General features: G+C 45.3%; 1 protein-coding gene and 1 long non-coding RNA gene across 6 annotated transcripts in view, besides 2 other annotated features; one reads left to right on the forward strand and one right to left on the reverse strand.

The window, feature by feature from the left end:
• Window positions 1-14,784, forward strand: part of TMEM132B (transmembrane protein 132B) — a 475,992-nt gene that overhangs the window by 80,621 nt on the left and 380,587 nt on the right. For 2 of the 5 annotated variants that reach the window (XM_047428241.1, XM_047428240.1), the window contains exon 1: window positions 14,049-14,295. The exons of the other annotated variants lie outside the window; for them this stretch is intronic. The gene's annotated coding sequence lies outside the window, so the exon portion shown is untranslated. Of the gene's footprint in view, window positions 1-14,048; window positions 14,296-14,784 lie in introns of those variants that run through there. 5 annotated transcript variants of the gene reach the window in all.
• On the reverse strand, window positions 5,890-13,810 carry LOC105370054 (uncharacterized). Its single transcript, XR_945493.3, has 3 exons — window positions 13,723-13,810; window positions 12,094-12,236; window positions 5,890-5,969 (listed from the first exon to the last, which is right to left on the reverse strand). It is a non-coding gene; the product is annotated as an uncharacterized LOC105370054 (long non-coding RNA).
• Window positions 13,034-13,897: an enhancer, noted in NCBI's record as "NANOG-H3K27ac-H3K4me1 hESC enhancer chr12:125764586-125765449 (GRCh37/hg19 assembly coordinates)". NCBI's record gives its function as "activates a minimal SCP1, AML or CMV promoter by ChIP-STARR-seq in primed H9 embryonic stem cells {active_cell/tissue: H9 hESC(primed)}" and the evidence as "EXISTENCE:reporter gene assay evidence [ECO:0000049][PMID:30033119]".
• Window positions 13,898-14,760: an enhancer, noted in NCBI's record as "NANOG-H3K27ac-H3K4me1 hESC enhancer chr12:125765450-125766312 (GRCh37/hg19 assembly coordinates)". NCBI's record gives its function as "activates a minimal SCP1, AML or CMV promoter by ChIP-STARR-seq in primed H9 embryonic stem cells {active_cell/tissue: H9 hESC(primed)}" and the evidence as "EXISTENCE:reporter gene assay evidence [ECO:0000049][PMID:30033119]".

Raw genomic sequence — 14,784 nt, forward strand, 5'->3', positions numbered from 1 at the left:
ATTTGAATGTTAAACACTTGGGAATATGCTTCTTGTTCACAAAGAACCATGCTTTCTCCCATTTTTGGGGATGTGGCAAGCGCTGTATCATGGAGACCTCAACGTGCAGTGGCTCAGAAAAGACCGTTTTTTCCCTTCTCGTTTAACCATCCCCATGTAGGAGTTGCTCTGATCTCTGAGGTCATCCTGAGACCCAGGGGTTTCCATCTCTTTGCTCTGTTACTCCCTAGGCTGGTGTCTGTGTGTCATGATTGGGGTTGCCTCATCTCTATAGGTGTATTCCAGGCTGGGTGGGGAAAGGAGTGAGGAAGTGCAGGGCCGCGAATTTCCTTTTTAAAGGGTGTGGCTTGGAAATTGCATGCATCACTTTGGCTCATGTCCCAAAGTCTGGAAATGAGCCATGCAGGCACTGTCAGCTGCAAGAAGACTGGGAAAGGTAATCTCCGACCTTGTGTGTTGGGGGGTTCCATGAATAAAAGGAAGAAGGGGAGAAAGGAAACTAGAATTAGCCATTTTCTGTCACATCCTCTCTCTTTTTGGTTTGTTCTTCTGATAGGCACATTGTCACACAGAAATGTTTCTCTACTATACAGAAACACTGCAGTTGGGATGATAAGAGGTAACTGAAACTCGCACTCATGGCTGGGGCATGCAATAGGGAGTGGTGGGGACTGTGGCTCATTACAGAGCTTGAGCATGGGTTAGGGGGGCAGTGGCTCCTAATCTGTGACTGTCACTTATTATTCTGTGAGAATATCAACTTAGAGTTAACAGATTTGATTTCTCGAGAGAAGCTAGAAATCTAGATTTTTTTTTAAAATGAGAAGTGTCTTGATTTTTTCAATCTTGGTTCGGTGTAAGAAATGCAGTGTGGACCAATCAATATTCGTGTACAAGTTGCATTTGGCCTGTGGACCTTTGGTTGGTGCTCTCTACTCTAAAGGCTGCTATGAGCCAGGTGAGGTAGTGCCTGCACTACCTGTAATCCCTGTACTTTAGGAGGCTGAGGCAGGAGGATGGCTTGAGCCCAGGAGGTCGAGACCAGCCTGAGCAACTTAGCAAGACTCCATCTCTACAAAAAGAAAAAGAAACAACAACGAAAAATAAAGGCTGCTATGCCAAAGGGAGATGGTGTTATCCTCTGACTGGCAGAGCTCAGGGATCTATCAACTTCATAAATGAGGAAATTGGGACTCGGCTTTTATACACTGTGTTAGAAGTGTTGGCTCACCTTCTCTGGAGGGGAGTTTGGCATTATCAGTTAAAATTACAAATGCACACACTTTGACTCATCCAGTTTACTTCTGAGAATTTATCATTCAGAGAGATTGTACCTGTGCAGATTAACCCATGCATGAGGTTATTCACTGCAACCCTGCAGTAGCATAAGGCTAGAGGCAACCTGAATGTCCATCAAGAGGGGCATGGGTAAATAAATGTTGGTGCATAGCCATACAGTGGAATGCTATACAGCGTGAGAAAAATGAAGACAGTGTATATATTGGCTGTAACCATCTCCATAAAAGATTGCTAAGTGAAAAACCAAACCACGTGCAGAACAGTGCATATAGTATGTGACTATGTTAAAAAGAAAAAGTAATATAGTGTGTGTGTATATGTGCACTTTTATATACACACGATATTTTTGCAAGGTTCATGAGAAACTGATAACGTTGCTTGCTTCTGGGGAGTTGAGTGTAAGACAGAAGGGAGGAGACATTTTATTCTAGAATCGTGTATCTTTTGAAGTTTGAGACATGAAAATGTTTTACCCATTCAAAACATAAATAAAATTAAGATAAAAGACAAGAAAGACTAGCGAGGCTCTGAGAGGGCGTGGGTTTCCCAGGCATCACACAGCAGCTGGGGGCTAGAATCAGCATCCCTGTTTGTGTCTCCCAGCACCGCATCTTATTACCCCAGCAATCTTACCATGCTGCTAGTTTTTGATCTTAGAGGCTGTTCAGAAGAACTTCTACCTTGTTAACTAGCAAGCTGGAATTTATTTTACCAACTGATATAGTTAATTGGGTTTCTTGCAGGAGCTGCTGTTTTTCTTGGCCTCAATAATAACCGCCCCAAGGCAACACCCTCTTCTGAAGGATCTTGGGTTCCCAGATACACCTCTGATTATATTTGCAGTTACTTTGCAGTTCATCGAGCAGACCTGGGCTGGTTTCCCTTAGGTTTACTTCATCACCTGAGCATTGCCAGTGACTCGGGCCAGGTGCTGCCCTGAGTGTTTTTGGAATTCCGGGGACTTGGAGGGTCTCCTTGCTGCTTCACCTTCCTCCTGCGGCACCAGGAAAAATAATGATTCCTTGGCTGCAGAAAGCAGGGTGACAAATGCAGGCCCTTTGTGGAGCGAGGCAGGCAGCCTTTCTGGTTCTCTGGCAGAGGTGCTGTTTAAATGACATTTTTCTTGAAGATCAGAGAGCTGTTGAGAGCTGCCTTGGGACTCGAGCCTGGTAATTAGCTCTTTACCTGTGTCCTGAGGATTCTCAGCACAGCAGCTTGTCAAGGGAGCTTGGGAGAGGATGTACTGTGTTCTCACCCAGGATGAATAAAAACCTTCTCCTTGTTTAAACAAAATGAGAAATCCTGGTGTCCGGGGATCATCCTGTCACCTTATATCTCCCTAGTTCAGTAGGATCCAGCACGGAGCATGACTGATCACTTAAATCCTATGTGTTAGGTTGGCTGCAGGGAACTGAGACCTTAAATAACAACGGTTTAAGCAAGACGGAAGTGTATTTCCCTCTCATATACAAGCGCAGAAATAAGTATCCAGAACTGGTATGGCAGCTCCTCTCGGCAAAACCCTCTTTGTTTCCAGTTCCTTCCAGCTCACCATCATTCCTAAGGTGTGGGTCTCTCTTCATGGTCCAAGATAGAGTCCCAGATGTGCCTCCCACATTCCAGGTAGCAGGAAATGGAAAAGAGCAAGGGGATCACTTGAGCCCAGGAGTTCGAGGCTGCACCATTACACTCTAGTCTGGGCAGTAGAACATGACCCTGTCTCTTAAAAAAAAAAAACGCTACACTTCCCAGGTTCCTTTGCAGCTAAGCATGGCCAGAAAGCTAATGCCACATCTCACATCTTTGTTGTGTGTGTGTGTGTGTGTGTGTGTGTGTGTGTGTGTTTTAAGAGACGAGGTCTTGCTCTGTAACCCAGACTGGAGTGCAGTGGTGCAATCACAGCTCACTGCAGCCTCGAACTCCTACGCTCAAGCCATCCTCCCACCTCAGCCTCCTGAGTAGCTGGAACTCCAGGTGCACCACCATGCATCCTACCCTGCTAAGTTTTATTTTCCCTCTTGTTAGCATATGATCCTTTGCTCCCTAAGGCCACTTTCCAAGAAGTTGCATGTAGTACCCCACAATATCCCATTTCCTGAACTTATTATGTTAACTTGGGTTCCCTCTAAAAGTGGAAGCTGATAATAAGGGCTTGAATGCAGGTAATTTATTTTGGAAATGTATTCAAAGGAAGTGGAATGGGGCAACTGGGAAGAGGAAACAGGAGAGGAGGGAAGAATGAATCCAAGGCTGCATGACCCAGGTGGTTACCACTGTAGGCCTTGGGATTCCCTCCTGCTGAGACTGCTTCCAGGAGCAGAGTGAAACACACCTCAGGACTGTTCACCAAAGACACGGATGAGGGGAGTATTTACTCCGTCTGCCAAACCCCATTGGTCAAGGGTTGCTCTCCAGGATGTTGAATCCCTTGCACTCATGGTTTTGAGCTGAACAGGCTCCTGCAGAGACTCTGTGGGGGTTGGGGGGGCGGGTAGGAGGTGCAGTAGAGGTACTTGGGGGCTCCACATGTGCCCAACTTCTTACAGCAAGAGCCAGGGCAAAAAGATGGACTGACAGAAAGTGAGATGGAGCATTAGCTTTATGGCCATGCTTACCTGCACAGGAACTTGGGAAACATAGTTGTTTTTTTTTTTTTCCCGAAAGAGATAGGGCCTTGCTTTATCACCCAGGCTGGAGTGCAGGGGTGCAAGCCTAGCTTACTGCAGCTTCCAACTCCTGGGCTCAAGTGATCCTCCCACCTCACCCTCCTGAGTTTCTGGGACTATAGGTGTGCACCACCATGTACCATACCCTGCTAATTTTTAATTTTTAATCTTTATTTTTGTAGAGAAGGAGACTCACTATGTCGCCTACGCTGGTCTCAAACTCTTGGCCTCAAGGGATCCTCCTGCCTCAGCTTCCTAAAGTACTGGGATGGAAATGTGGTTTTTATTCACAGTGGCCACGAGTTTGGCAAAAGTCAGGGGATTGATTACTGTTGCAAGGATGTTGGAGAACAAATGGCAGACTCTAGCACACCGTGATCTTCATTCCATTCATTATGATTGATCGTGGGAAGGAATTCCGCAATTGTTTGACAGTGTCTGCCATGGGTATGGTGGTGGAGAGGTGGAAGGTTTTGTATTGAGAGTCTGCTATTCTTGACCCTTGGTATTTGTAGCACTCACAATTCATGAGGGTTGAGTAAAAAAATTTTAAAAATTAGAGTGAAATGGGATAAGACCCATCTGAAGGTGGTACTTGGCTTATCCTGAGCTATGCTCACCTCTGGTGCTCTCTCTGATTGTCTTTTATATTTTCAACAGTTTTGAATTGCAAACCTACTATGTGCACAGCTGGCATGTGCACAGGTAGGAAGAAAGGCTACAATGAAGAGGCCATGTTTCCCAAACTTTGGTTTTTTTAATATATTACCTTCATTACCTTTAATATATTACCTTTTTAAATATATTACCTTCATATAATATATAATATATATTTGACCATATCTACAGTATTCTCTGGCTATTGTAAAAAATTTAATACCTATTTTTAAAAATCAACTCAAGTTTTTACTTAAATATGATTATTTTAAAAGCAGACTCTATCACTACCACAAATAGAAAGCCAGTATCACTTGCCATAAATAGCCAGAAACCTTCAAAATAAAGACAATGAAAACAAAGCAATGACCTTAAATTCCAGCTAGATACCGCGGCTTGCCAAAGGCTCTCAGACAGAGACCTGCTGTCTCCCGTCTAACAAGGGCCATTAGCCAAATGTTAGAGACTCATTAGCAGAGATGGAGGCTTCCTCTCTTTATGAGAAGGATTACAGGAGAATTAAGAAAGGAATAGCCTTCTAATGGTGGGATTCCATGTTCCTGAAAACCTTTTTGTAAATCATCTTCCACATTGCTGGGAGGACTTGGGAAAGGGCTGTGGAGGGCTTTGAATTCCGAGCTAAAGGGATTGTTGCATTTGTTGCATTTGCAGAAAAGCCCTTGGGATACCTTTTGGGGGGTTATTTAGGGGTACAGGAGTAGTTTCTGCAGCAGAATATATTGATGAATAGGGCGTCCCTGTCCCCCAGCGGGTGGGAAATTCCCATTTAGGCAAAAACTCCCTCTTCGGTCCAGCGATTGGCAAGAGGCAGGCATAAGCCTCTGATCCCCTGCGCCCAGGCCTGTCTTTGAACAGGCACTGAATAGCATCCATTCCTCAGGAGATGTCCTGCACTGCTCGAGCTCCTGAGAGCTCTTGGATTAAAAAAAAAATAAACTCGAGTTGGCACCACATCCAAGTGGCATGTGGCGCGGGCGGGTGCAGTTGGATTATTTTTATTTATGATAGCTGATTCACAATTGTCTCCATGGCAATGGGGGAGCTAAAGGCGGAGGGAAGGAGGGAGTCGTCACATTATTAAATGACCCAATGAAAGAATAAAAACCCTCCAACACATCAGGGATTAATTTAACACTGTGGCCTTGCCTGGCAGGTCATTACCCATCCCTGCTACAGATGTTGGCACTTCCACTTCCAGAGTGTTCTGCGCAGAGCATGGCTCATCTGTTTGCATTTGAATGTCATTCTTCGCTCAAACAGTCAGATGCCGGGGGTCAGGAGGGCCACTGGTGACCTCATCTGGAGATGTTCTCCACTCATGGTGCCCTTTTGAACACACAAACATCTCTATTTATATTTGTCTCTATATATGTAATTCTGTTTTTTATACTAACTTGAATAGATACAAAATCATCTTTATAAATTACACTTAAGGAATAAAACCGTACAATGAATAGCCATGTACCTACTACTTAGTTAAGAAAAATAGTGCCCTTTTGAACACACATATATCTCTATTTATCTCTCTCTATATATGTAATTCTGTTTTTTAAATACTAACTTGAATAGATACAAAATCATCTTTATAAATTACACTTAAAGAATAAAACCATACAATGAATACCCATGTACCTACTACTTAGTTAAGAAAAACAGGCCGGGTGTGGTGGTTCATGCCTGTAATCCCAGCACTTTGGGTGGCCGAGGTGGGAGGATCTCTTGAGTCCAGGAGTTCAAGACCAACCCGGGCAACACAGTGAAACCTCATCTGTACAAAAAATACAAAAATTAGCTGGGCATGGTTGCTCATGCCTGTAGTCCCAGCTACTTGGGAGGCTGAGGTGAGAGGATCTCTTGAGCCTGGGAGGTTGAGGATGCAGTGATCCGTGATCAAAACCACTGCACACAGCCTTGGTGACAGAGTGAGACCCTGTCTCAAAAACAGAAAAGAAAAGATTATTTCTTTTACATAGGGTAAAAGGGTGATGTACATACAGTAACAGCATATCTCGATTTCCCCTGACATCCCAATTTTCTCTTGTTGTCACTAAGACAACTAAGGCTAGAGTGCAGTGGTGCGATCTTGGCTCACTGCAAGCTCTGTCTCCCGAGTTCAAGTGATTCTCCCGCCTCAGCTTCCCGAATAGCCTGGATTACAGGCACATACCACCACACGGGCTAATTTTTGTATTTTTGTAGAGATGGGGTTTCACCATGTTGGTCAGTCTGGTCTTGAACTTCTGACCTCAGGTGATCCACCCACCTTGGCCTCCCAAAGTGCTGGGATTAAAGGCTTGAGCCAGTGTGCCTGGACTCTCCTCTACTTTTAAGCGCCCTCTGTGCTCTTCCCCAGTCTCATTCCCTCTCCCCTCAGAAAGAACCTCTCTCCTGAATTCTGTGTTCGTCATTCCTTTGCTGCTCTGTTTGCTCCCTAAATAATACATTATTTTTTTGGGTCTCTTCGTGAGTGGTGTGTAAGTGAAGTTATACTCTGGGTGTCCTTTGGTGCCGCCCCTCTTTCACTAAACATTGCATTTGGGAGACTCTTTCACATTGAAATGTGTCGCAGTGATTCACCCCCTTCTACAGCTGTATGCTCTTCCATTCTAGGAATGTTCCAGGATTTATCCGTTTTACAGCTGACATTTGGGTTGTTGCCTGTCCTTTGCTCCAATCAACAAGGCTGCTGTGAACATTTTTGTATGTGTATCCCAACACAGACAGGCCTGAATCCTCCAGGTTCAGTGTCTACAATGGCTGGGTCATATGTTCACTGCATCTTCAACTTTGCCAGATGGTGACAAACTGTTTTCCAAAGTGGTTGTCCAGGTTGATCCCCGCTCTGGCGACACAGAGGTGTTCCGATCATGGTGCATTGTTGTTAATGCTCATTGTCAATGCTCATTGCCAGACTATTCAGACATTGAGTGCTGCCTGCGACTATCATTCAGTGCCCAACTTGGGTTCATTTGGGGAAGAACCCCAAAGAGGAGAACAGGCTGCATTCCCCAATATTAACTTCGCGGTAATACAGCTGACATTTTGATCTACATCTGCCTTACATCTTTGTCTATTTTAGTTGGTTGAGAACTTGGGTGCCTCCTAAGGGCGACCTAAAGACCACTAGCTATGCCGTCTCTGATAACTTAAATGCCCACGGCCTCTCATTCACCTGAGATGGGAAGATTACTTGAGCCCAAGAGGTCAAGGTTGCAGTGAGCTATGATGACGCTACTGCATTCCAGCCTGGGTGATGGAGTGAGATCAGACCCTGTCTCCCAAAAAATAAAAAAAATAACCTAAGGATTCCAAGGATGCAAAATAACAAAATTACAATAATCCGCAAAGCTAGGAAGGTGGGACATGGTTAACTTACCATCTGTTCGACTGCCACTCATCTTTCAAAACCCACTTCAGAATTATCTTTTGTCTGAGCAACTTTACCCAACTTCCTCATTCAAAGCGCCGTCCCAAACCCAGCTAACCCGGAACGTGGGCTGGACTTTTCTCTCCTTCCACGGAGCTCTGTGATCACCCCAGCTCACAGCTCACTCCAGATTCTGAATTCCTAGGATTTGTTTGTAGATTCAGCTTTTTTTGTTATTTAATCATATTCTGTTAGCCCATTGTGGAGTGTAAGTCTGGCTTTCTTAATTTGAGGTCATCTTAGGTTTTCTTCTTCATAGGACCAGTGCAGTGTTTGCCCTAGCTCATTCTTTCAGGAAGTTATTGGTAGCACCCATTATGTGTCAGGCCTGATGATCATGGCTGAGGAATCAAAGAAACTGAGTCCCTTGCCCTTGATGGAGACATGCTTTTCAGGAGAAATGCAAGAAATAAATGAGAGTGATCTGATGTGGCTTTGATGGGAGGAATATCCAGATTATTAAGGAGAGTTTCTTTGAATGAAGAAGTTGGGTAAAGCTGCTCAAACAAAAGATAATTCTGAAGTGGGTTTTGAAAGGTGAGTGGGAGTTGAACAGATGGTAAGTTGACTATGTCCCACCTTCCTAGCTTTGGAGATTATTGTAATTTTGTTATCTTGCATCCTTGGAAACCTTTGGCTAATGTGTTTTTTTTGGGAGACAGGGTCTCACTCTGTTGCCCAGGCTGGAGTGTGGTGGTGTGATAACAGTTCACTGCAGCCTTGACCTCCTGGGCTCAAGTAATCTCCCCATCTCAGCCTCCTGAATAGCTGGCACTACAGGTACATGCCACCATGCCTGGCTAATTTTTTAAGTTTTTGTAGAAATGGGGTCTCCCTATGTTGTGCAGTCTGGTCTTGAACTCCTGGGCTTAAGCAATCCTCCTGCCTCAGCCTCTCAAAGTGCTGGGATTAAAGGTGTGAGCCACTGTGCCCAGCCTAAAATTATTTTTAAAGGTAAATACTAATGAAAATTGACAAACATCTTCTCAGTATCCATGGGTGTTTGACTCTGGCCACTAGAGCATTAGAAGTTAGTTGGGAAATCAGTGCCAGTGGTGCCTTTTATGCATTCCTTTGTTTATTTAAATATATAGTTTACATCTGTTGGATATTTGAATAAAGGATAAGGAAAAACAGACAAACCCTATTCTTAGAACTGTGACTGCCCTGGCTTCTGTTCTGACCTCGAAGCGGTCAGACGACTCCAGCTGGTGACAGCAGCTGATCTCTGCACGACAGAGGTGCGTCTCTGAGCATTTTTCAGCCATTTAGATCAGACTGTGGGTCTGATCACAGTGACCAGAACTGCAGAGAGTTGTTTTGGGCATTTGGCTAATTAGAACAAAGCCACCAGGTGAAAGGAACTATCCATCCCGGACTTTGTTCTAATAATCATTAGATGAGATTTCTGACGAGTAGGCCATGGGCTATGCTTGATTTCAGGCATCTCAATGCTGTCTGGGGGTGTCCGTCAAGGCTGAATGGCTGGAGTGGAGTTGGGAATGAGAGGATGCTTTTTCTCCATGGGGTAACTTCGAGAGTGCATTTGTGTGGGTGTGAGTCCCTCGTGCCTTTGGGGGCTGCCTGTCTGTTAAGCAGTGCTTGCCTATGCCCTTGGCCTTGACCTGACCCTTGTTGGTGTGGCTGTCAGTCAAATGGCGGAAGCGCTGGCGTCTCCCCTGACAGCTGGTGCAGTAACAACTGTCAGCGCCGGTGAAGTCAGCTTGCTTTCCAAGAGGCACGTGTAATGTTTAAGTCTGAAGAGAGGAATTGATTGAGGGTTTGGACTGTTGAAAGGTAGGCAGGGAGAGGTGCAGCCCTTCCCGGCAATCCAATTTGGGCATAACTTTGGATTCTAATCAAACGGTCTTTCATCACACTGTCTTACCACATGCGATTTTAACGTAGAGGTTGCGAGTCAGAAGGCTATGAGCTGGATTTGTGGGTACCGTGGGTTGAATTATGTCCACCAAAACATATGTCCAAGTCCTAACCACTAATACTTGTGAACATGACCTAGTTGGGAAAGAGTGTCTTTGCATATGTGGTCAAGTTAAGATGTGGTCATTAGGGTGGGCCCTAATCCCATATGACTGGTGTCCTTAGATGAAGAGGGAGAACAGGCCGGGCACGATGGCTCATGCCTGTAGTCCCAGCACTTTGGGAGGCTGAGGCAGGTGGATTACAAGGTCAGGAGTTCAAGACCAGCCTGGCCAACATGGTGAAACCCTGTCTCTACTAAAAATACAAAAATTAGCTGGGCGTGGTGGTGGGCTCCTGTAATCCCAGCTACTCAGGAGGCTGAGGCTGGAGAATCGCTTGAACCTGGGAGGCGGAGGTTGCAGTGAGCCAAGATCGTGCCATTTCACTCTATGTGGGCAACAAGAGCAAGACTCTGTCTCAAAAAAAAAAGATGAAGAGGGAGAACACACACACACACACACACACACACATACACACACACACGGGAAGGCCATGTGAAGATGCAGCAGAGATTGGAGTGACGTGCCTACATGCCAGGGAACACCAAGGGTTTCCAGCGACCCCAGAGGCAAAGAGAAAGGCGTAGAACCTCTCCAGAGCCTTTGGAGGGAGCAGGGTCCTACCCACACCTTGGTCTTGGACCTCTGGCCCCCAGGACTATGAGAGAATAAATTTCTGTTGTTATAAGCCATCCCATTTGTGGTAATTTGTTGTGGCAGCTCTGGGGAGCTAACAACGACGTTAAAAAAAGTTGGACAAATGGCTACTGTTTAAAAACAGAAATTTTATGTAAAAGCCTGGATTTTTGGCATCTCTAGAAAAATCAGATCTATTCACAGAGGGCCAGCATTCTCCGATGGGAAAAGTCTGGAACTCTGCAGTGTGCCCAAGTCACCACCACTTCCAGTTGTCCTAAAACCAGCCTGCTTCTCCCAGTTGTGTTTTGTGTCAAGACTCTCTAGGTTTCTAAGCTTGCAGCCGCTTGTTTCGTGATAGATCTGGGATGGAAGTGTTGGAAAGAGCCTATCTCTGGCTTTCTGGTTTCTAGAGCAGAGGTTGGCAAACTACAGCCGGTGGGTCAAATGTGGCACTCTATGTGTTTTGATAGACAAAGTTTTATTGAAAAGCAGCCATGCCTATTCATATACATATTGTCTACGGTTGCTTTCGCACCGTAACCCCAGGGTTGAGAAGCTTCAATAGAAACCATTTGGCCTGTAAGGTGGAAAACATGTACTTTCTAGCCCTTTACAGAAAGACTGTGCTGACCCTTATTCTGGAGAATCAAGAAATCCAGATTTTTATGTGAATTCTCCTTGTTTTTAAGTGAGGGCAACAAACTCATATTGGTTTTTAATTTCAAAAATTTAACTGTCAATCAAGGTCATCTTTCCATGTCAAAAATGGGAATCTCCATCTTTTTTTTTTTTTTTTAAGATAAATGGAGTAATATGAGTCATTTAACCAATTTTTTATTAATGGGTATGCAGGCAGTTATAAGTTTATATAAACTAGTGAGGGCTGGCTAGGTATTGAGCATTGAGCTTCTTTTTGGGGATGGGGTGGGAATGAGCGAGTGGGGTGTTTAACCCAGAGTTTAGAAAGCCAGCAAACTATGCCATTATTTTTATCAAATGTTCATGTTTGGTTTTTAAAGGCAAGATATGAAACACTGGCCTTCCCTGTCCATGGAAGGCTCTGCAAGAAAAAACAGAACTTAAAAATACAGCAGAAAAGAATTGTTTTGGTTGTAAGGAGGTAGCTTTTGTTGCTCAAGGTGGTGAACCCTGGAAAGAGTGACTGAGAGAAACTCTTGAATTTCCCTCTCTGAAGACCCTCTAAGAGGCAATAACTCTGCCCAGGTTGGATGTAACCCAGCGAGGGAAGATCTGTTTGGCCACCTCTGCTCCAGCACAAATGGCTCCCTCTAGCCCGGCACTGAGAAAGCTTCTGTGTCTACCTTGCCCAACAGGAAGAAGTGCCATGCTGGGTACAGACAGGGGTCATTGGTAGTGGAGGTATTTGGGCATTTAACCATACCTTTGCCATCCCTGGATTAGAGACCAGGAGCTGGGTCAGCTGATCACATGTCCTTCTGAGCTCCAGGGTCCTCATCTGTGATTGGCTGACTCCATTAGTCTATACAAGGCCATTGCCAGGTAGGTCCATCCCAGGCTATAGGGCTGTTTGAAGGGTATGCATAGAAAAATAAATGCAGCAGGCCTGAGACTGTTATCCCTAGAAAGGCCTGCTTACAGGGTTGACCTTTGGCTGGTGTTTGGGAGCTTGGCACTTGGACTATTCCCTGAATAAGTGTGTGTCTTGGTTCCTAGACTGTACAAACCATGTGACTTATGGTGAACACTTGCTTTCCTTCTGGGAATCTGGAATATGGGTACATGCTAGGCAGAGGGGTCTATGTGACTAGTCCCCAATACAAACCCTGGGCACTGAGTCTCTGATGGGCTTCCCGGGACAGAAACAGCATGCATATGTTGCTGTGTTTTTCTTGCTGGAAGAAGAGTGTGCTTTGTGTGACCCTCATGGGAGGAAGAGAGAATATAAGGAAGCTGGTGCATGGATTTCTACAAAATCTGCCTGTGTCTTTTCCCTTGTTGATCCTGTTGTATATCTTTTTGCTGTAATAAGCCTTAGTCATAAGTCCAACCAAATGCTGAGCTCCATGAGATCTTCTAGTGAATCACTAAACATATGAGAGTGGTCTTGAGAAACCCTCTAACAGGATGGTTCATTGTAAACTCAATTCCACCATTAAAACAATTCAGAGTCCCTGCCTTGATGAAGATGATAATGATACATGTATCAGTGATTATATTAATAACTAACACTTAAATTACACAATGTGCCAGGTGCTGTTTTAACACTCTACATAGATTGACTCATTTCATTCTCACAACCATCCTTAGAGGTAGGTATTACTTTTATCCCTCAGTTTACAGATGAGAAAACTGAGACACAGAGAGAGGAAGTGACCTGTCCTTCGTCACCCAGCTCATAGGTGGTGGAGCTGAGAATGAAACTCCCAGGCTGCGAATGGCAGACACTTGGGATCCTCCAAAAACGTAGGACTCTCCGTGGATTGGTAATTGGAGCCAGTGCCTTCTTGGAAACTAGCTTTAGTCTAAAGAAGTTAAATAAGGAGGATATTAAATGTTCCCAACACAAAGAAATAAATGTTTGAGATGATGGATATGCCAATTACCCTGATCTGATCACCATGCATTATTTGTATAAAAACTTCACTATGTACTCCATAAATATGTGCAATTATTATGTGACAATTAAAAAAATAAAAAGTATTTTTTAAAAAGAGGCTAACTTAATTGGTCTTCGCCTTTTAACGGAGGGTGTATCAGTGAGAATAAGCTGGGATAACGAAGCATGTCAAAATGCCAATGGCTTAAAATAACAAGGTTTATTCCTTGCTCAATCTGAGTGTCCATCGCACCTGGCCATGGGCTCTGCTCCCTGCCTCCCTCCCCTGGACCTAGGCTGCCGGAGGAGCAGCCCGTCTTCACTTGCTGTGGGATGTCAGGGCGCTGGGAGCAGATGCTGCTGCTCCCCTACGCCGGGACAGCTCACGTCTCATTGGCCAGAGTAGTCACATGACCCCACCCAGGCACTGGGAAGCCAGGAAGTGAGTCCTACTGTGCGTCCTCAGGGCAGATAGTACAACTCTTCGGTCAGCAGCACGGGGAATGCTCCAGCGAGGATTAGGAAGGAAACCAGACTTTTGATTTCCCTGACTCCAGACTTTGCGGGAAGAATGCTCATTGAAGGAAGATTTGGGAGTTGAGAGGAGGGGGTAGGAGTGAGCTGATTATTATCAAAGGCAGAAGTGAGAAAACGGGGGGCTGATAGTTAAGTCCTTTCAGAGCAAATGAAAGTGATTTCCATGACAACAATTCAATTAGAAAGCGACATGAAGTTCTCTGTGAGGGAACGCTGGGGAATTACCACACAATGAACCCTAAGCATTTTGGCCTTGGGGTGGAGAGGGGTGAGAAAGGCCCCAGCAGGGGACCCCCAGCGGTTCCTGGATACAGGGCATGCCTCCCTAGTGGGAAGAGTCACCCCTTCCAGCACCCAGGGGAGGGAGGAGGGAAGAGGTTGGCAGAAATATGCAAATGCGGAGTGGGTGTGAGCAGGAATGGGCCAGGGCAGGCAGGGAAGCCCGGGGACTGGGGCGGGCGATTGAGGAACCTGTGTTTTGCTTCTGAGGTGGGTTGGCTTGGGATGTGGGTTGCTTGGTAGGGTTGGAGAATAGATGTTGAAATGTTTCCCCACACAATTAAAATTCAGACATGGGTGGTGGCGGGAGAAAGTGGGAAGGAGGCCACAGGATGTGGTGGAAAAAAACCAGGCTTCGAAAGCCCACCCCGGTGGCTTTGAATCAGTTTTCCCCTCTTGCTTTCTGTGTTTGAGCTTAAGTTCCCTTAGCCTCAATTTTCTTGACCATAAAACAGAGCTCAGTTTGCCAGTTAGCAGAGCGACGGTGAGCACTGCATCACGTAGCGTAATATTGGGCACACAGAAGGTGCTCTCTACAATGTCCCTCTACTCCCCTCCCTTGGATTAGGGATGAGGGTAAAGTGATTTCATCTCAGGTGCAAACTCTGAAGCTTCAGCAATGGCTCCCTGGGACCTGTGTTAAGAAGACTTTTGAGGTCGGGCGCGGTGGCTCACGCCTGTAATCCCAGCACTTTGGGA

The sequence above is a fragment of the Homo sapiens genome, chromosome 12 (genome assembly GCF_000001405.40).
Source record: "Homo sapiens chromosome 12, GRCh38.p14 Primary Assembly".
Taxonomy (NCBI): Eukaryota; Metazoa; Chordata; class Mammalia; order Primates; family Hominidae; genus Homo; species Homo sapiens.